The sequence below is a fragment of the Homo sapiens genome, chromosome 13, assembly GCF_000001405.40.
Source record: "Homo sapiens chromosome 13, GRCh38.p14 Primary Assembly".
Taxonomy (NCBI): Eukaryota; Metazoa; Chordata; class Mammalia; order Primates; family Hominidae; genus Homo; species Homo sapiens.
In genome coordinates, this window is record NC_000013.11 from 65,833,141 (window position 1) to 65,856,621 (window position 23,481).

General features: G+C 35.3%; 1 long non-coding RNA gene across 1 annotated transcript in view, besides 1 other annotated feature; it reads right to left on the reverse strand.

The window, feature by feature from the left end:
- Window positions 1-2,747: 2,747 nt before the first annotated feature.
- LOC105370241 (uncharacterized) overlaps window positions 2,748-23,481 on the reverse strand; it is a 30,064-nt gene continuing 9,330 nt past the window's right edge. The window contains exon 2 of the long non-coding RNA XR_942031.1: window positions 2,748-3,192. This is a non-coding gene — a long non-coding RNA (uncharacterized LOC105370241). The remainder of the gene's footprint in view (window positions 3,193-23,481) is intronic.
- Window positions 9,873-10,392: an enhancer, noted in NCBI's record as "H3K4me1 hESC enhancer chr13:66417145-66417664 (GRCh37/hg19 assembly coordinates)". NCBI's record gives its function as "activates a minimal SCP1, AML or CMV promoter by ChIP-STARR-seq in primed H9 embryonic stem cells {active_cell/tissue: H9 hESC(primed)}" and the evidence as "EXISTENCE:reporter gene assay evidence [ECO:0000049][PMID:30033119]".

Here is a 23,481-nt window from a genome sequence, read left to right on the forward strand (position 1 = left end):
CTTGACACATATTAAACAAAATTATTTTAATATATGTATCCTAGAAAATAGACTAATATAATTTGGTTACCAAATGTGTATAATCTGTACTTTTCCACAGCATTCCAAAATAACTGTGAATATTGTTTTCTACCAAACCTGTTTAATCATCTTGCCTAAGTCAGGGTGCACCGGCATCCTAAATTGCTTAGAAAAAATGATAAGGACCTGTTTTCTAGACTCTTTAAATCTGAGAGGTAGTTATTATTTATATTAAAATATAATGCCTAAATATTATATAATATTGAAATATGAAAGATAACAGTTAACTCAAATATTCATAAAAATGCTTCATTTCCATGGATAAAGTAAATTTTATCGGATATAAAGATTGATAAATGAAAGTGCAACCCTAAGAAATCTATGAAGGCTTGAAAATCTGTTTTCCGTACGTAGTTTGGAATTCAAATTTTACGTTATGTTTCTACATGGCTCTGTGCTTTTTAAATGTTTCTTTCCTTCACTGTAAAGTAGTAAAGACCTATAGGATGATTTTTGCAATAACCACTAAGCTCTCTGAAAGACATACCTACTGTGAAATTTGAATCATTATAAGTCATTGCAAAGTTGAATTCAGTAAAATAGAAACCAATTAAAAGATAATTAAAAATACATAAAGCTACAAAGATTTTTCATTTTTAAAAATCAGAAAATCAACTCAGAAACAAAATATGATTAGTTAATTAAGGTTCTTGGTGACATTATAAGAATCTGGTAAAATGGAGAAATATTAACATTAGATGCTAATGTTAAACTAGACATGCTGGACTTACGTTGAAGAAAGTTATATTTATTTTAGATATTTACCAAACTTTTTGACAGTAAGGTCAATCAAAGTGTAGAAACATTTTATTAATGAGGTAGATACGGCAAAGTCACTAAATATCTTTAAATAAAGTTTAGCAATATTAGTGGAAAGGATAGGAGAGCCCTTATTTGGACTAGACATTTCTTCCAATCATTACATTTGCTTTCAACCTTATTACCTAAAAGTTTTCTATGGGCTGCTAGTCTCCAGATAACTGGCATTTTCAATAACAGTCCTTGAACTTGATCTTTCTGTCTACCCAAGGGCATCTGGAGCCCCTTGTAAGAAAAGTGGAAATCACGTAGTCAAAGATTGAAAGTCTTCATTTGCAATGAGCACACATAATTTAACATGATAAATTAGAACACACAGAACAAACATAAAAAAAATTTAAAGTGAATTATTTAATCTCCATGATCAAATTTCTCATAGTTTCTAAACATCAGATGGAAGGTGTATTATACAACAAGAGGTACAACTCAAAATATAGCTCTATAAAAAGTTACTGTCTAGCAGAGAGAGATCATTATTCTAATCATCTACTTGAATCAGGTTTTAAATTTCAGTGGTATTTATGTAAAAATTATGAAAATTTATAAATAGCGGCTAAGGGGCCATAGACATTGTTATGTTAATGTTAAAAATTAAAAATTATACATTATATAATATCTAAATAATAAATATGAATAAGGTAATTAGATATTTTAATAATACAAATACAAAGAAATAAAAATGGAAATAATTTGATCTGATCAAAGATGGATCTTTCAAGGACATAAAGAAAATTGCTGAAAGAGATAAATGGTAACAAAATACTATAGTTATATTCCACCCAAAGTAAAGAAAAAAGTGGGAATAATTTGATTATTTTAAATAGTACTGTGCTTCAGATACATAATTTAAAAATAAGGCTAAGTTTTCTTTAATTATCCGGGGCCAAAAAAAGTTTGTTCATCTCATTATAACAACACATCTTTTGATATTTGAAGGCAAGAAGACATCATTTCCTACTAAAGATTTATGAAAAATAAGCAATGTGTATTAGCAACTAAATCAAGGCTCTGGAGTTGATTTAAGTGCACACTACATTCATGCATTCTACAACCACTTAGCTATTGAGTCATTCTCTCAGGCACTATGATAGTAAACAGACAGATAAAAATGGAAAATGCAAAGACCGCATACAGTTCAATTGAAAGTCAGTTTCAAATATAATTCATAAATGTATTTTATCCACTTCTTAAAGTATTCCTTCAGAAACTAATATTTTTCATTATCATTTAGTTTCCTTTCACATAAAAAGGTACTATAATATTGAATAGAACCCACACTCCATTTTGCACAGATTCTATACATTTCCTTGAAACACCAATATTGTGTATGAGAACGACTGAATTCTTGTTTATTTTATATGGACTATTCAGAAAAAATATAGGTCCCCTGGTAATAACTATGTAGTCAGGCACAGAGCTGAGCATTTTCTGAAGATTATACTTCCAATAGCCCTATGAGTGCCTCTTTATATAAATATTCTAATGGAAGGAAAGAGAGGTGTGCAATTTGCCCAGGGCTAAAATTGTGTTAATTGCTGTGGACGTGATTTTAACTCGTGGATGGCCTGACTCCTAAAACTGCTTTTAACTACTTCACTATATCCCGACTGCCACAGATTAACTGACCTTCCAGAAAAGCTGTGAAGGAAAACAGATATGTGCAAGTTCCTTAACACAATTATTTTCTGTATGGACACACCTGCTTCCAAACCTACTATATGTTTAATTTGTGTATGGTACTAGTCATTATGCAAGAACTTTTGGAAACTTGAAACTATTTGAACATAGCACTGACTGAGATTTTTTTCATAAAAATATATTTAAAAAATTGAAATACTACTAAAACGTATGGTAAGAAATCTGCCATGTTTACTCAGATAATACAGGTGGATGGGGCTCTTTGATTGGGAGAGGGACTGCTCTTTACAAAAGCTGTTGCAAGCTGAAATGCTGCAGCTTCACCTGGCTGCACACCTTTGCTGCTCCAATTGCTCCACATTGGGTCAGTCTTCCTCCTGATATTATTTCCCAGTCTTCTGCAGCCATGCTTCCATTACTTGAAATTGTTCTTCAATGTGTCTGTGGCATGTTCCTTCAGCCTGCCCTATTTGAGATCTCCTCAGTTCAGCTCACCATACAACAGCTGGCCAGGTGTCCTCCTGCTGTCATCCATTTTTTATACTTGTTTAGTCCAGTGGAGCAGTATTGTAGCAAAGAATAACTTCACTGCTGTTGCACTGGCTGTGTTCCAGGACTTCCTGTTGGTGAATATGTTTCTACTTGTGATGCTAACTAAAATCAAGGTTAAACATAATGATCAATATTTTGCTCATTTTTTTGTTATGGCATATTAGTAAACATCTATGTACCTTTATACTCTACATAATCTGTCTTATTAATCAAGTTATTCAAATGTTTAGTTTGATAACATACTGCTTTTAGCAGGATTTAAATAGAGCTGTGTTAATATATTAAAAAAAAAAAAAAGAACAACCACTGCAGTTACTTTCAACTTACAGACTAAATAATATCTTACGTATTAATCAACAATCTCTGGTCAATTCAGAAATTTTATGAGCCATTGTGCAAAAGATAATGAACACCAATTATGCAATGCAAAAAAGTAAGGTAAACCCACAAATATTCTCCTAAACCTTCTTTAAGATAGAAAAAATTATTCGAAATATCAGGAAATATTTTGAAAAGCTACCAAAAAGATACCTGATATTAATAAAAATGTGTATCTAGTCACTAATATGCTTATGATACTGGCCTATATATTATTTCGAACTCCAAACATAGCAAAAATTAAAAAAAAATAGTATTTTTCAGTGGCCGTGATGCATAAATGATTCCAGCTAACTTAATATTCAGTTTCCACACACTTTCACATAAAATACTCATAAATTATAGTTAACATGAAATGGTCGCATACATAACGTGCGATCATTAGCATTTCCCTTTCATATTCAGTAAATAATAAACATTATTGGTTTTCTTATATGATAAGATGTGGTAATAAAACCAGAATGAGATTAATATTGCTATGTTAGAAACTTAAGTGGATCATACGCAAGTACTATGAGAAGAAGTACTGCCAGAAGGAAATTATGAAGAAAATAGATAGAGTTACAAATTTACTGACAGTATTAGGCAGATCATACTGGTATGGAATATATCACTTAGAGTACATCGTATAGCTTTTTGTCATAAAGTGAATCCTCATTTATCATTGATAGGACATATTTAATTCTGCATCTGCGTCTAAATCTATACTAAAGAGAAATACACTGTGGTAACTGCAGTTTGTTTTCTTTTAAATTCATTTGTTTTGTTTTGCTTTATTTTTAATGGTGGTCAGGATCTGTAGGAATCAGTGAAATTGCATTCCGGACATCCATATTTTGTGAAATAACTGTCATTTTTCTCTAAGCTATACTATAGTGAAGTCTGAAGTATTGGCGAATTAAATATCTATTAAAGATTTATTATAAATACATTTTATTTTTAATAAAGATTTAATTCACCAATAACTCAGACTTTGTAGTTGGCATTTTGAAGAGTTCTATTTCTTTTGTGCCTGGATATCATGAATTTATACATCTTGCAGAATCTGCAGTATTGGAGAAGACACTTCCAAATATCCACTAGTTTATTGGAAGCTTAAAAATTATGATCTGTCATCTATTGCAGAGCTTCTTATAAAAATCAATTCTATATTTTTATAATAGATATATAAAATTAGTAACATATGTTTATTCATTAATTATAACAGGTATTTGCGGGATAACTACTATGTTCCAAGAGACTGCAAAGATGCTGGAGATATAATGGTGATCAAAGGATTTTACCTCCCTTATGGAGTTGTCAGTGCCCTCCAGACAAAACTTACAAGGAACACACTGGTAGTCAAGCAAAGTTGGGCTTATTTACTTGCATTGAGGAAGACTGCACACCATTGAAAATTTTAGAGTATTTTTTTTAAGAGGGTGTAAAAAGCTCTTACTGCATGTATTAGTTCATTCTTGCACTGCTATAAATAAATACTTGAGACTGGGTAATTTATGAAGAAAAGAGATTTAATTGGCTCACAGTGCCACAGGCTGTATAGGAAGCATGGCTAAGGAGGCCTCAGGAAACTTACAACCATGGTGGAAGGCAAAGGAAATCAGGCACGTCTTCACATGGCCAGAGCAGGAGGAAGAGAGAGAGAAGCTGCTACATACTTTTAAATAATCGGATCACATGATAACTCACTCACTATCAGGAGAATGGCACCAAAGGGGAAATCTGGCCCTGTGATCCAATGACTTCCCCTCAGGTCCCACCTCCAGTGTTGGAGATTCCAGTTGGACATGAGATTTGGACAAGGACACAGACCCAAACCATATCACTGTAAGAGTTTTTGCTTGAATTGGGTGATTTTAGGGAGGTTTTGAAGAAGTGAGGTCTGCCCTGGATTCAATAATGCCACTAAAGCAGGTAATTTACTGATTTGATATCTTAATCATTCTTAACCTACAAGGTGAGAGGAGCAAATAGAGGCTAGGAACAGCAATTATAGATATTAGCCAGAATAGATGATGCATTTGGTCAGTTTTTAGTTTTGGACATTGTTCTTGGCTTATTCTGTGCTCAGGTATAATTATGGAGGGGACTTGTCTTATTCCTCCTTCATAATCTCAACATCCTTTTCTGATGTGAATGTACTTTGAAGTTGTTTTTGTCAAGCAGTAGAATAAAGCACCATGGCCTGGCTGTGAGTGCTGAGCCAGCTCCTAGCAACACCAAGGCATAAATGATAGTGTCAGAGCATCTTCCAGCTGTTGATGTCTACTTTTCTCTTTGTCAGAGGTAATTGCCTGAGGAAACTAAGGCAGGTTATAGATGACATTTTCAAATGCTTAGATAATGACAAAACAAGGACCCTAGTCTGTTGTTTTTTGAATAGCCCCAAAGTATCATTTTTTATTTAGCCACAGCCATTTTCCTACTTGTACCCCACACAACTTAGCCACATCCACATACTGTAATTATAATGTGATACATGACAATATTTGATGTAGCTAAATAAAATGATACATTTCTGCATGTAATATGTAGTTTAAAATGAATAGAGTTAACTATAGTTCACACATATGTAACCAATAAACATCATATTTCATAAATTCATGTATAAGAAATGTATTGTCATCCTTCAATAATGTGAATTGCTTTGTCTTATCTACACAGTAGATGTTTATTGTTAGTCAATTCAACTTTTTTTCCATCCCTCCTTCTTCCTCCTTGCTTCAGTTTTCTAAAGTTAAGTAAAAGTTTTAAGGGCCTGAGGCATTAAAAGACTATCATATTTTTTATTCAATCTCTAATCATCTAGTCGTACTGATTCACTTACTGAAAGCTACTTTTGCAACTGGTCTCTAAAGCTCCACAAATTTGATGGCCATTTTCTCCTCATCTAGACAGCAACACATGTTGAGTACATTGGCTCCTGGTACCCTGTTACTGATATTCCTAGGTAATGGAAAGCACACTAAAGCCAGAGAATACGCTATAGGCTGCCTCAGACCCATCTATGCAGACACTTCACAAAGATATTTCTGCTCACTTCCTGCCACACTGGTGCAGGAACACTTGGTCACTTGGGGGACAAAAGGCTTAAGCAGAGGATTCTTTATTCAATTGGCCATCCTATCTGGGTATTCTAACGTCAACATTCCTTGGAGTTCAGTTGGAAAAAATCCTTCTTAGCTTCTGATTCAATTATTTTCTCAATTCAGAGCATCTGTAGTTCAGTTTAAGCTGTTAATCTATTCCTCTTAATCTATTGTTTATAAAATCAATGATACTTTTTGAATCCAATAGTTTGCCTTGGGTTTTGAAACGGAGTATTTTGGAAAAGGTCATGAGGTACCTGGAAATATGGAAAACAAGCTAGTGTAATATCCTAAAATATTATTCTGCCAGATATATTTTTAATGTAAGAAAATTATTGGTCATTCAACTTCATAACTTTGTGTTTAGTTATTCTAATACAAATGTGTATCATTTAGTAAGAAATAAATTATGAAATTATGTATGGTTTTTAAACTATAAATTGCTCTTCATTTTAATAAAATATTATTGTATTTTGACATATAGTTTTAACTTTGAAGTGTCCAATGGTTGAAATCCTCATCAGTTTATTTTTATTTCCTGTTGAATATATGTAATTTAAATAATAAAACATTTACTAGATAATATTTTTCAAGAAACAATTACCCTACATATTAGCAACATTTTTCCACATATTGGAAAAAAAACAAAAACATATGAGATATTTTTTCTGGTACTTTCTACAAGATATAAATAACCTAACATTGTGCACAGAGCTGCATGGAGAATGGTTTAAATTAAATTTTCCTCAAGTTGTTGTCCTGTGTGCAAAATCATGGGGTGATTTTTTATTTTTCCCAGAATTGAAAATCCTCAGGGGAAAAAAGAACTTTTAATGGGATCACTGCTGGAACCTAAACTTCTTAGAGTTCAGCAGACGATGACAATTTAGGAGACCCACATAAACGTGCTGCCGCTGTAGACTACTGAGAGGAAATGTTATCCAGATCTCTATCAGGAGTTCACAAATGTGATGCAGCTCTGAAGAAGTCTTGTGACTCTTCAAAATTAAGTTCTTTATTTTGTATCAATGGGATATTATGAAAGAACTACCCTTCCGGGTGATGATTTATATAATAAAGTGAATATATGTGTTCTGCTGAAGATCTGAATAAATGTGCTTCACTGAGGGCCCAGGATGTTCTCCTCTTCATAATGGAAATTTTGAAGTTTCAGTTGGTTTTAAATCTTTGGGGAGTTTTGTTTAATGAAAATACATTGGTAATATGATGCCTCTACAAATTTCTATTTAGGAAATTAATAGAATTTAAAAAGGACTAGACGTTTTCCAAAGAAATAACTCTTAAACATGTACATTAATCACAGCAAAAGAAGTGTTAAGACCTAAGAAACCCAACTTTAGAAGGTTATTCTTAGCAATTCACAAAAGTAACATTTAAACTGCTTTTACTAACTTCAAATTTAGAAGATGAAACTATGAGTTTTTGTTGCTGTTGTTGTTGTCATTGTTGTTCTATTACTTTGTAGATAATAGTAAAGGACTATTTTAATGTAATTTATTCCAACTATAATAAAATTTGTCCAACTGGATGTAGAGTTTAGCTACCTTTGGCAGCACATCAACTAGAATTGAAAGAATTAGCACGGTAAAAAGGTCGGTGTTAATCTCTGCATGGGTGAAAGTCATACTTGCCAAATATTTACTTGATAAATGGAGCCTGGCTTTGTGGTCCAACTTTTAGTTTAAAAGTATTTTATTAATGTCTATGGAATGTGAACCAAGGAGGCCAAGGTTTTATTTATTAAGCATAAATATCGAAAAGTATTATTCTGATTTTGATTTCTTTAGAAGAAAACTACAAATTTTAAAACCTACTTTAGTCCTAATAAACCTATGAAGTCCTACTAAGACTGTTTTGCCACATCCATGTAATTCAATTTAACAGGTATTTATTAATTGCAACTAATTCCCTTAGGCAGGGCATATAATTAAAAAGATGACTAAATGATATGCCCATCCTAAGATAGCTTAAAGAAAGACAAGGACAAATTCAGAGTTTTATGTTTTTACTAGTACGTGCTGGTGCATTACCAACATTCAAATCACAGGTTACAAGAGGCTCTTCACCTGGATCTTTACATAGACACTGACACCACTTTTAAGATAAAGCACATCATAAGTTTTTAAGAAAAGTCACTCCATCTTCTGTGAGGCTAAAAGTTGTTTCTGCATGTGGTAAGGAAACTTCAAAATAAACACTACCGTTGCTGTCATGAACTGAATGCTTGTGTCTCTCCCAAAATTCATATCTTGAAATCCTAACCCGCCAAGGGATTGATGCTGGAGGATGGGGCCTTTGGGAGGTAATTAGGTCATGACAGAGGAGCCCTCATGAAACAGATTAATGCCCTTAAAAAAGACAACTCAGAAAGGTCTCTTGCCCTTTTTCTGCAATGTGAGGAATAAGAATTCGGCAGTTTGCAACCTGGAAGAGATCCCTCATCAGAACCAGAGCTTGCTGGCACTCTGACCTCAGACTTCCAGCCTTCAGAACTATGAGAAATAAATTTCTGTTGTTTATAAGCCATCCAGTCTATGATATTCTGTTATAGCAGTCCAGACTGACTAAAACAATTGCCAGTATTCTCTCTTGAGTACTTAAAAGAAAAAATATATAAGAAAATAATATATTTCATAGAAAAATATTTTTTCACTTTCTAAATGATGATAATGATACAATATAAAAATTATAAAATTAATGTGAAAGTAACCAAGCTTAGAAAAGCCAAGAAACTGAGTTGATGAATTTAGACTGATATAAAGATAGTGAATTATAATTTATTCCCAAAATACAAAAAATATTCCCACAGATCACTTATCTATACTTTTTGTCAAGGACCTGAAGCACTTACCAAAAAATAACAAAGAATTTCCTTCAATTAAATGTTCTCTTCCTCTGATGTTACCATTATTATTGTTCCTTCTAACACAGTTTTAGTGCTGAAAGCTTGTTCTACTGCAAGCTTTCCACTCTATCATCTTGTCTCAAATTAGAGCTTTATAATCTCCTACTGCTATTTACCCAATCTTTGCTGTATGCCAGCTCACCCATCATCCAAACAAAGGGAAAAAGCAATAATAATAATGTCAATATCTACTCCTAAAACAACCAGTTCTTTGTACATATGTTATATCATCTGATGCTCTTGGAAGTCCTGGAGGTAGGTAAGTCAGCATTCTTGTTTTCACTTGCAGTGTTAGTGAATTACTTGGTAACAATTTGTGAATTGCCAGTCCCAAACTTGTTTCGAGCTTCTCGGGATTATCCAGCCATTCTAAATGAAATACACAGAGAAACCTTTTCTACAAAGGTAGAAAGCCCAGATCTTCCCTGCCAACCAGTTTCTGAGTCGATTGCCACCCATTGACAATTCTTAACCTCCATTTCAAAACAAATATGGTAGAACTTTGCTTTGCTTTTTTTCTAATAAGGTTTCTATGCCAGCTTATTCTATCATCCGTCTCCTGTTTTTAGATAATTGACACTCAGATTTGATGGCAGCGGTGGCCTGTCTACAGCAGCCACTGTGAAGACGCTGGCTGCAGCAGGAAGATGTGTGACTGGGGTTATGCGGTCTGCCGGGCGTTGGGAGCTGAGAACAGCAAGGAGCCCCGCCCCCTACTGAGTTCGCAAGGTGGGAGCCCCGTGCTCCCAGGCACAGCTGCAGCTTCCCAACCACAGCTCTGGACCTGGCATCCCTGCCCTCTCGGAGGCTTGGGCAGCCCCTGCTCCTGCAGGCTCAGAAGTGCCTGTTCCCACTGTCTGACCTCTCCTGGCTCCTGGCATTTGCTTCGGTGCAGAGCAAAGTTGTGGCCAAGCCCGGGTGCTGTTGTGATCCAGCCAGCTGTCCGTGCACTTGTGGCGGCGCTGACATACCAGCCCCCCTGCCTCCTCCACCCCCTCCGAACTTTGGGCACCCGTGATCATGGAAGGGAGACAGAGGTTGGCGGCTGAATGCAGCTTCGTGTGGGCCTGCAGGCACCCCTTGGCACTAACAGCATGGGCACCATGGACAGCATGTTGATGGCAGGGAGCAGACAGGTTTTTGGTCAGAAAGGGACAGGTCCCTGGTGAAATGCCATCTTCAAGCCAGGAAGGTGACTGCCTAAAGCCTGGGGGCAGGGTTGCCAGTTCTGGGTCGGGGAGTTGAAGTCCGGAGTGAAAACTCAAGGTGCTTTTTCCAGGCCTGCCCAAGGACACCCACGGACCAATCAGCACACACTTCTTCCTTCCAGAGCTTATAAAGACCGCAGACTCATCTAGATTCACACAGACGTTGGGACAACCTGCCTGTGGAAAGGAGCTACCCACTGTAGGTCTCCTCTCCACTGAGAGCTAGACTCTCACCAGGACAACCTGCCTATGGAAAGGAGCTACCCACTGTAGATCTCCTCTCCACTGAGAGCTAGACTCTCACCAGGACGACCTGCCTATGGAAAGGAGCTACCCACTGCAGGTCTCCTGAGAACTGTTCTGTTGCTCAGTGAAGGTACTCTCTGCCATGCTCAACCTCCAGTTGTCTGCAAACCTCATTGTTCCTGGATGCGGCACAAGAACTTGGAACCCACTGAATGGCGGGACTGAAAGAGCTGTAACACAAACAGGGCTGAAACATGCTCCGCCACTTGCCATGTTGCGGGTGACGAGAAGGAGAGAAGAGCTGGGGACCTTTGGGGAGCCCAGACCCAGGGGCTCCTTGAGCCAAGGCTGTGACACCCTCTTTGGGACTCTGTGGTTCCTGGCATCTCCAGGCTTCAAGATGCCACCGCGGTCCTCTCGTAGAGATGTGTGTGCCTGCAGTAGAAGCTGTGTACAGCTGGTCCAGCTGCAGCCTCGCATGGTGCAGGCACCTGTGCCGATGCGTGGAGCTGCCTGCCCTGCCACAGCCGACGTACCCGGCTGTGCACAGTGGCCGGATCCTGCGCTCACTCGCTCACACATACCTCACCCCTCTGCACCTGGCTCGCCCTTGGCAGGCACGGGATCAAGGCTGGTAGCATGAGCCGAGTGCAGCCTGCCGGGCCAGGTCGTCAGAACAAGCCCAGCAGGTGCAAGCAAAACCCAAGCAGAGCCACCGGTGGCCACAGAAGTTGCTGGCTGGTGAAGTAACACCCTAAGGATCCCATGACAGATTCACCTTGTCTAGAGCAAGGCCTGAATATCCTCATAGACCCTACCTTATACAGATAGTTACCCATCCTTTATTACTCCTTTGTAAACTGGCTACTCTGGAGATGGACGTGTTTCCCCACACCTCAGTCTATCACCTTGATTGTACACTTGCCCACACACACATAATACATTTAGGTATCATCTTGTTTCCCTCATTCATAGGACTAGCTGCCTTTTCATCATCTCTGCCTCACTTCCTTGCATTTAGATTTTGTGTGTGCTTGGTGGATGAGAGACTTACTCAAGCCAGAGCCACCCCCATGTTCAGCAATCCCTCCCTGTGCCCTCCTTTACTTTCCTCCACATTCTTTATCCTACAGTCTGGACTCTGTTCTTGTTTCTTTAGCACCTAATAACTTTCAATCTGTTTTGTTTCTATCTTCAGCCTACAATAAATATAATGTATACCCTAATAAGCCAGGATAAAACACACATACACACACATTTAATACAGGATTCATAAAACAATACTAACTCTTGGCAAGTGAATTTGTCAATTGAATTGTCAAGTGTAAGCACTCTAAATTTTCTATTCTGTTCTGTTTTATTCTAGTATTTCTTATTATTTCACCTAAAAGGGCTGATCAAAATAAAATAAAATGGATTTACAACTTACTGAAGGGATCATGATCCACAATCTGAGAAACAACGCTCTAACTGGCTAGTCATGTTTCACTTAGGAAAACATTTACCCAAAAGATAATGGCTGCTCAACAGGCTGCCAAAGTCTTTGGCCTCAAGATTTGAGACCTCTGACCAAGGTTTAAATACATTCTCATACCTCCCAGCAGAGGTTAAAATGCAGAGGTTAAAATGCCCATGAACTACTACCATTTGCTCATCAATTCATAGGACAATTATGATATTATTAAAAAATCTAGTTGCTGTTTTTTCTTCGAAAGCCTATTTGTAAGATACATAAGAACAGATAATGTATTTTATTAATTGATGTAGCCCTTGTTTCTAGGCACTTGCGGGCTCATAGTGTTCATTCTAATATTTGCTGAATAAATCAATCATTGAATCAATGAATGTTTGGAAGTGGCTTAGTAGGTTGTTACTCATTCATGCGTTCTCTCATTCAGTAAGCATCTGATGAATACCCATTACATTATATGTCAGTCACTATGCTTGTTCCTGCTTACATTATGCAATTGATTGAAACCAAGTCCTTATTTTTAAGAATAAGTAGTAGAATATGTAGTTTCTGAATGTTAAAGGAGTTAAATGAAAGATTAATGTCTAGCTCTTGCTATATGTGGAACTAACAAATCACATGTATGTTAATTTTCTCATCACCCAATCAACAAATATTTAAAAAGCACATGGAATGTGTTAGACACTATTTTAGGCCTTGGAGACAGCATGAATAAACAAGAAAAATTTCCTGCCCTCAAGGAGCTCACATTCAGTGCGACAAGATAGAAATGGAACATAAGCAAATGAACAAGATAAAGTAGATAGTATTAAGCTCTATGAAGAAATAAAACATGGTGAAGAGATAGGGAGGTGGGCAGGTTAAAAGGAAGAGAGTACTTTTCTTTAGAACAGCATCTAGATGTCTCTGGAAGGCAATGGGAAACTGAGGTATTAAGAAAACTTTATTAGGAAAATGCAAATGGCTGCTTTCCCCAGTTCAGAAAGATCTTTGCCTCAGCTCAGGAGGACAAAGTGCTTGCACTTTTCAAAATGTGAAAAAGAAAAGGCTTTCACTATTGCTGGTCATTGGTCCTCCATGAAGTAAAAAATAAATAAATAAATAACAAAAATATAAGACAAGAAAGAAAAGGAACAGATCCTTGCCTCATTAAGCAACCAAGGTTAGTACAAAATATTTTGCTGAAAAGTAGGACAGAGATTAAATTGAACCTATGTTTAAAGCAAAATGATTGCTGTGACATGCATTTCTCATATCAGAGCAATTTAGATAGGAAATAACTGGTAAGCAAACATTCTGTATTATAAATGAGAAAATCCTGGAAAGATTATTGTTGTCTTTTTCACTGAACACATCAGCAGGAAAATTATTCAGCCCCAGGCAGAGGAAACAAATATCATCAAATACAACAGGGTTGCTGTTTGGATCCTTCTACTATCCTCAAGGACTGTCATGTTTTCAGTACCCATTTCTTTGTATGTTGCCTTTCAGTACAAGTCTTTATGTCTTGTACACATTCAGTCTGTTTATTTTTTGTATTGCTGCCATTGTAAACTTCTAGAATCTTAAGTATACCAAGGACAACTGCTTTTTCTGAAATAATAATATGATGCAAATACTGAAAATAAATATAATTTGAACAAATCTAAAGCGGATTTATATAACTTGACTGTTTCAATATTTACAACATTTAGAAACTAGATTTCATTTGCACAGAAGTCCAAAAAAAATTAACAATACCTAGGGTAGTGTTACAAAGTTAGTCAGATCTCAATAAAAACGAGCTATATGAAAAACAAAACAAGTAGTAAAGCCATTTAATCACAAACTACCCAGCCTGATAAGGAGAGCAGAAACGCAGTCTCGTAAGACCCATTACCCACTATTGCTTTCTCTGCTTATATGATAGGGTTCCTGACCGTATGGGTTTATTTCCCAAGCTCTCAAGTCAGGAAACATCTGACTGGAGTTGGCCAATGGGAGGCCTTGGTGGGAGACAGGAGAATGAAAGAAAAGAAGCAGCAGAGTTATTTCTTCTTCTTCCTGCACATTTCTAGCACTCTGCCAGAGTGACCTCTCTAGAAATGCTTACATGTTCTCTGTGGTCTGACGCCCACTAAACAGGATTGCCTAAATCCGGCTATTGCAGACAAACCTCTTAGCAGAATGGGATGGCCTCTTTCCTTTTTAGCTCTAGCTAAAATGAATTGGCCACTCCCCATGGTTGCTGATATTTGCATTATCTCACTGTTTTTATTTTCTTGCTGAGCTTTTCCATCGCCAGTACAACCAATCCTATTCATTAAGTTTTCTGTGCTTTGCATTCATTGAGTGATTGCATATTCCTAGTTAAAACTTGAAGAATACAAGCAATATTTGATCCACTATATATGTATAATATTAAAATGTTATGATATCTGTATTGAAACTGTCTTTTCATAAATCTGGTCATAAATATATATCCCCGTACATTTTGACTCCATTCTCAAATTTTAAGGGAAGTTAAACTTTTATATGCATGTTTTATAATTCCTTTCAGCAAAATTATTTTATAATGTTGGCCAACTACTATGGGGCTAAGGTTTCCTATTCCTTACTTGAAAAATATCAATAAATCTCTCTTGTTTCTCTCTCCAAAATTGCCCCTTTTTGCAGAAAGCAAATCATCCTTCTTGGCATTATCTTTTGGCTACCTATTCTTTATTGTTTGTACTGAAGTTGTTGTTTTCTTCCACAAATTAATCCTTCATATTTGATTGGCCCAGGCTAGGCCAAAAAAAAAAGAAGAAAGAAAAAAAGAAAGTGAGAGAAAGAGAGAGAGAAAGAGAGGAAGGAAGGAAATATGGAAGGAAGGAAGGAAGGAAGGAAAGATGGAAGGAAGGAAAGATGGAAGGAAGGAAGGAAGGAAGGAAAGATGGAAGGAAGGAAAGATGGAAGGAAGGAAGGAAAAGAAAGAAAGAAAAAGGAAGAGAGAAAGAAAATAACGTTTTCTTTGAATGTCAGTCTTAGGAATGCACTAACTCTGGTTAACTATGTTTCTGGCCTTGTGAACAAAATGAATCTGCAGTACAAAGTGATGGAACAATATTCAAAGTGAAGCAGAGATAAGAAAGGTAGAGTTTAAGATTCTCCTTGCTGTTCTTTGAAGTCAACCTCCATTAGTGTCTTTCTTATCTATATTTGTTAAATATAAATATAAGTATGTGTGTGTATATGTATTAATTTAAATAATTGAGGAATATACTCTAAGCCAATATAATCATTTTTTATTAAGCTAGGTTGAGTTTATTTTCTGTTATTTGCAACTTAAGATGTCTTAAGTAATACACATATCACTTTATTACATTGTATTAAAATGTCACTGTTAAACCTGCTCCTTGGAACAAGGACTTTCATTGTGTTAGGATAATGAGGCCTCACAAAGAAGTTAAGTCATTCTTGTTGCCTAGAATCCATTTTTAAGGCTTGAATCTCAGACATCAACCAGAATTGAGAGCAAAAGCCACAGGTGGGCTACAGAGTGAAAATTTGCCTCTTTCAGTCTTGACTAGCCCTAAATAAGTCAAAATGTCTATCCACCTTGGGGGTAAATTTTAAGATGGTATAAAAACAGACAGAAAGAAATGAAATCAGGAAATATGTCAGGAAAATTGAGCCAGCTGTTTTTAGACATAGTGTAAATATTGCAAGGCAATGGATGAAATAGGATTAGTAACTGTGTCCTCCAAATAAGTGAGCTGAGCAGAACACAGAAATTGGCCATGTGAAATTATACTGTTTCCTGCTCTATTTAATGCATTATTTTCTCTTCTATTCCTCCTTATACAACTTAAACAGATGAATCCAAGGGCAAAATGAATTGACATGCTATTGCCAGAGAAAACATGACAGGTCAGGACTGGAATCTGCCTTCGAAATGTCTATTTTATGGTCTTATACGTTTTTAAAATATACTTTAAATCCTAGGTATTCATAGTAACAATATACAGAATTATTCCAATTGTGTTTCCTCCAGTTTTTTCCTACCACTTTAAATATGCTATATCAAATGCTTTTGTTGTTGTTGTTGTTTTAGAATAAGACATTTATATTTAAAAACATAAAATTCTCATTCAGGAAAAGTACATATTGCCCCAGGATAGGTAACAGAAAATAAAGTTTCTTCAAAGCCTCACACCCTGTGTTTTCCCTCCACCACATTTTGGACTCTTCCCTAAAAACACACACACACACACACACACACACACACACACACAATTTTTGTTAACTAAGTTGGAGATGTCTAAAAACACGTAAGTTTTTGACCAAATAATTTAGCAGATAAATGTGCATAGTCACACTTTGCTTCCTCTGTATATTTTTTTCTTTCAGAAATTTCCTAGTATATGTGTCCTTCATTCCTTAACTCATTGATTATTTTCTAATAAATCTAATGGGTTAAGGGATGACAAAGATTTTCACATTTAAATTATACTTGTATTTTAATTGGGAAAATTTTAGAGATTGAAACTTTTAAATTCATGATAAATAAATGTTTAATAGTGGACACTCTGGCCTTGATACTATACTAAGAAGACAGAGTTAGATATGTGTTTGAATACTAGGTTGTGGTGCAAACATAATTGTGGTTTCGAACCATGAAATTTAAATCATTATAATAGGCTCAAACACATCTTTTTTAATCAAAATAGGAACCATTACAATCAACACATTTTTGCCAATGAGAAATAAGTTTGTTTATTCCTATGGCATAAAAATCCATGCTTCGGGATTTAATGAACTCTTGGAAAGCATTTTCTGCACTCTGCTGGTTGTGGAAGCGTTTTCCCTGCAAAAAGTTATTGAGATGCTTGAAGAAGTGGTGGTTGGTTGACGAGAGGTCAGGTGGATATAGCAGATGAGGCAAAACTTCACAGCCCAGTTCATTCAACTTTTGAAGCATTGGCTGTGTGACATGCAATCAGGCTTTGTGGAGAAGAATTAGGGTCTTTCTGTTGACCAATGCCAGCTGCAGGCATTGCAATTTTCAGTGCAGCTCATGGATTTGCTGTAATGGTTTCACTGGGATTCAGAAAGCTGTAGTGGATCAGACTGGCAGCAGACCGCTGAACAGTGACCATAACCTTTTTTTGGTGCAAGTTTGGCTTTGAGAAGTGCTTTGGAGCTTCTTCTCAGTCCAGTCACTGAGCTGGTCATCATTAGTTGTCGTATAAAATCAATGTTCTGTCACGCATCACAATCCAATCAAGAAACTTTTCATTGTTTTGTGGAATAAGAGATGACAACACTTCAAAATGCAGATTTTTAAAATTGTCTCTCAGCTCATGAGGCACCCAATTATTGAGCTTTTTCTCCTTTCCAATTTGCTTCAAATGCCAAATGACCACAGAATGATCAATGTTGAGTCCTCAGGCAACTTCTTGTGTAGTTGTAAGAGGATCAGCTTCGATGATTGGTCTCAGTTAGTCATTGTCAACTTCCAATGGCCGGCCACTACACTCCTCATCTTCAAGGTTCTCGTCTCCTTTGCAAAACTCCTTGAACCACCACTGCATTATATGTTCATTAGCAGTTCCTGGGCCAAAAGCATTGCGGACATTGCAAGTTGTCTCCACTACCTTATGTCCTATTTTGAACTCGAATAAGAAAATCACTTGAATTTGCTTTTTGTCTAACATCGTTTCCATAGTCTACAATAAATATAAAATAAACAGCAAGTAATAAGTCATTAGCAAAAACGTAAAGTGAGAAATGCCCATTAAAATGAAGTATAACATAACCACATTTAAATAAGAATGCATTCCAATATCAAGTGGCAAATTCCAACAATGCAAAAACTGCAATCTCTTTTGCACCAACCTAATAATCCACTGAAGTGAATACTTATTCCACCAAATTGTTAGTCAAATACTGGGAATGTCAGTATGTAAAAGAGCTATGAATTCTCTTAGAATATTTTATTTACTGTACATAACCATATTAAATTATCTATTATTTATCTAATAATATGTACATTTAATTTTTTTAAATACTGAATTTATTCTTATTAGTTGTTACCTCATTTAGGGATCTTACGGCTTAAAGTCAATTTCATTCAATGTGACAGTAAAACTCTTTTTGAAAAATATATTGTATTTGTTTAAGTTCCTTTTCACTGGCATAGAAATGGAAACAAGTTACTGTCTACTTCATGTAATAATACTTAAATGTATGTACAGATTATCTAGGTGTTTGGATTTTTAAAAAATTTAATTCCATTAGGGTGAGTCATGAGGACACTGATATAATTTTTGACAGGTTTTAGGAGTTTTTTTTTTCTTTTTAATTGGGTCCATTTAATCAACTTTAAAATGTGTGAGTGAATGGACGTTATCTAACAATATGAATACCAGATTTTACTCAACGGTGTAAGAGCTCTGGTAAGGAGGTGGTTTAAAATTAGCTTCTCAAAACTTAATTTTCATATGCTTTTACAATACTAATGGCATTTTTTCATTCTGGATTTGTTTATTCCCTAAACTTATGCAAGACTTAATTTTTCAAAATACTGCAAAGGAAACCACTACTAATTGCTATTTTTAATAAAAAATTCCTTGTTTGGGACCAAGTTCCATTTATGTCTGTAATGTAATTCCTTATTCTATCACTGGATGATGAATATGCTCATCCATTAACTCAGTGTCAGAAAGATTTCCTTTGCAGATTCTCAATGTCCTGCTGCTATAATTAAACTAATCATACAGTGGGGACCATTGTGGCCTACTCAATTTTATGTAATTTTATAAATTACTTAACAAAATTTCTTAAACTATTTGCAAGACTGTTCGTATAAATGATTTCACAAGTTAAAAACAATTCTTTATTAGACTTCTGGTAATGACTTTTACTTTGCTAAACATGACCACAAAAATTACAGTAAGTTTTCCAATCATTATTATAAATATTTCTCAGCTGCTGCTACAGTTGGCCTTGTGGCTGCTGCCAATTTTACATGGCCTTTTCTAGGCTCCTGCACAATTATGTGTATCATTAGCTTACACTGTTTACTTCTTATTGCCATTTGCAATTTTGTTACTGTAACTCTCAAGAACACACATTTTTTGTCTTTCTTTTTTTTTTCCTGGCTATTTGTTCTTAAAAAAAAAATCCAGCTGCTCTTTTCCTTGTGGCATGTCATTGCTTCCATTGGTTAACCTCCTACCTCTGCCATCTTCAAGGCAAAACTATTGTGTCTTTTACTATACAATTTATACTATTTATGATCTATACTGGCTCCACACTGACCATTACATCTTTCCATTCTAATACATCCTGTAAGACCTGATTTAGTCCTCAGAGCAATGTGATGAGGTAAGCCTCTGACTTATAAGCACTAACGTTTGGATTCACTCACTTCTCTTTTCCAACTACATTCTGAGTATTGGAACGAAACGGATGTTTTCTACGAAGAATGACACCAGGATACCTTTCAGTATCTCTTCCTTAGGGCACAGGATATTACATTCAGAATAATACACAGAATATTTTCAAATGCAGAATAGAAAAATTTGGTTAATATGTAAATATTGAAAAATATTCAAAATTAGAATACACAGCAAATTATATGTTAACCTAAATAGTAAGATATACATCAAATATACTAAAACGAGAGTTTATTATACCATTCTATGGGACAAAATTGTATGTAATCACAGGAGCTGTTATCCAATAAAGGAAGTAAAATTTCAAGAGAATATAACTGAGATTTTTAAGATAAAAAGAGGAGAATTACATATTTAAGAAGCATAAATAAATCACTGCTTATAAAATATTTCACATTAATAGAATAAATATGAATAAAAAGTCAAATAATTTACTAAATAAAATGAAGAAATCATAAGAATATAATTAAATTATATTTTATTGTTTTAAAGGGAACTAACAGTTGGAAATAATAAAGTACAAATAAAGTATGATTAGACATATTCACAAACTCAAAATATATATAGGTAAATTTTCTTTAGAGTCTCTGATTCTTTGCTTCCTTGATTCTGGTAATACTATAAAATACTGTGTAAGAAACTGTGTTTGGCTGTGTGAGAAATAAAATCCAGAATACAATATGGTGCTTGGATATAGAATTAAGAGTAATCGTTTTATGGTTAAGGAAGACTGTATGGTAAGGAAGTACCTTTATAATAAGTAAGAAGAAATATCTTTGAAATCTGAAGAAACAACATAGACAAGTACAGATACTTGAAAGTGTCCATCAAATTCAGAAATCAATGAGAAATTCACCTCTTCTGACTTCCCTTTCAAGTCTAATCATTATCAGATGAGAGAGGGCAGAACCATCTTTGATAGAAGATAATCAAAGTCCAAAATACACTAGGAGATAACAAGTGAGCACCTAAGTAATCTACATAACTTTGGGAGTCTCGAGTCAGACAAATTACTTACAGAAGTACAGTAAGATGTGCACTGATATCACTGAACTGCAGCTAATGATGTCTGAAGAACTATATTGAAAATAACACAGTCCTAAAATCTGTCAGGCTGACATATTTGTGGAAAACAGCAGACGTGGTTTAAGAAGGTTTTATGAAGTAAATACCTGTAAGAATTTAGAAAAAGGAAGGAGGAAGCCGTTGTTAAGAGCCAGGATAAAATGTAACCTAGAAATTAAAGTATAATAAAATATATATATATTTTATATATATATATATGTATAAATCGCAAAGAACAAATCTCAATAAGCACATGTCATTTTCTTTTTTCCTTGCTTTCTTTCATTTTTTCTTCCTTCCTTCCTTCCTTCCTTCTTTCCTTCTTTTCTGTACTTGTCAAATTAGTTAATTGGGGCAGTGATAGAGTTTCACTTTTCTCAATATTGTCATTGTAGAAATCTTGGGCTGGATAATTTTTTGTTGGTGGGAGGGGTCTGCCTGCATACTGTCGGATGTTAAGCTGCTGCTTGGCCTCAGTCCTTCCCTCCTTACCTCTCTAATTGATTTGTGAAAACCTGTTTTTTTTTTTCTCCCCTCGGGAGAAAAATCATGCATATGGTTGAGAACCCTTATCTCAGATACAAGATATGTGAAAATTTTCCAGGCATTTGATGACATCTGTTATTATGTTACTGAGATAAAATGAACAGATATAAACTGAAGATTTCTTAAAAGTAAGTTCATTGTTATCTGGCCTATTAACTTACTCATAAATATTTATTGAAAATTTACATGATGTCGGGCACAGTACCTGGCATTGGGGTCAAAAACAATGTGAGATTATATATCAATATCAATTTGCAGAAAGTTTTTCATGGCTCTATCTTTAGTATTATAATGTTCAACATTCTACTGATGACCTGGCTGTAGAAAAATATGTTATGCATACCCAAGCAAATCTGGAAGCATTATTTAAGTGGATTTCCAAAGATTAGTCAGCATTTACTATGCAAAAGAGGAGGAAAGTAGAAGTTGGAAAGTGTTTACACTGAAGAAACAGAAAATCTAAAACCCCTGATGTGAAAATCTCAAGGTCTGTTAGAAGAACTTTTAACAACCCATTCAGTTGGAGATAAAGAGTAAGGAAAAGTGTGAGAGTAAAGAAGAGTATGTAATAGTTAAAAAAAAAAAAGGGCAATGCCATTATGAGTCTTGTTAATAGAAAGTCATAGAATATTTTACTTTACATATGAGCAATGAGAATATATTGGAGGGATGAAGAATGTGTAAGATAGGAAAACAGTTTTTATTTACAAGATTAACACTCAATGCAATGTTAAAAAATAGACTGAGAACAATAGAGAGCCCTTGCAATAATCAGGTGAGATGTGATTAGAATGGTGGGGTGAGACTGAAGAGAAGCAGAGGGATTTGAAATGAATTTAAGATGAAGTGAAAGAAGATACTGTTGTGCAACACCCTGATCGACTCCCACCCCTTTCAAAAATGAAGCAATCATTCCCACAGCTGCTGGGTTGTGGGAAGCTGACAGCTCTCATCTGATTGCCTACGTGGAAATTTCCTTTTAGAAGAGAGCCACTATGTTCAAAGCCATGACCCATTTTTATGGTCAACCTGCATTCAATGAAAAGTCAATGCGCGTTACACAATTCTGGGATGATTTGTTACACATAAAGACGAACTACAACATGCCTATTGTTTCAGATGCCTGTGATTTTACTTTTTAATTAGTTTATAAATATCTTGTAAGCTACAAATGACTGATGTGATTAAAATTGTACTTGATAAAATATTTACATCTATCGCGGACACTGTTAAATTAATAATGTTGCATGAAAATCACTCTGAGAAGTGGTAGCTTTTGTGGTAATGAAAAGTAGCGAGGTGTTAACTTTGTTGCCTACACTTAGGGTGTTTCCTGATTAACTTTCACTGCTTGAGAAGTTTTTTTTTTAAATTCCATTAATTCTGTTGCAATGAAATATTTTATTTATAGCCCTCAAATGCATGAAGTGCCACATTTTTCACTTGAAAACGTTTTATGTAAAGGCTAAAAGAGAGCCAAAGATAAGAATACACCTTACAATCTCAAAAGAAGATAAGAACATAGTAACAAAAAAAAATTGCAAACATTAGTACTATAAAGTACTCAAATCTTGTACTAAATATATTTGTCTCCTACTTTCCCTTCAACATCGTAGCTTTGTTAAATGTTTCACTCTAAATTTTAGAATACTGTAATATGTGCTTTATAGTTGTACCAAAATGAAAAGAAATCTCCACCAATGAATATTGACCCAAAGAAACTTGCTTCTATCCACGTTTGCATTTCCCCAGAACATTTTCTGTATGGTTTCTGCAGGTGAGTGTTGATCCTTCGGCTTCAAGGAGGGTATCTCCATGTACTTTTTCTATATTCTTCTTTGGTACTTTTGTTCTGAAATGAGACAAGAAAGGTGCACTTTCTGCAGTGAGCCACAGTTCAAGTAGTCCTTACTTTTAAATTTTCCAATTGCTTCTCTTTCTGGAGACATTTATTTAAGAGTGTTCTTGATCATTATTAAATCTGGCAGATTCATCCTGAGTGCCTGCAGTGCACCAGTTCCTTTTGGAAGCAGAAAGAGAG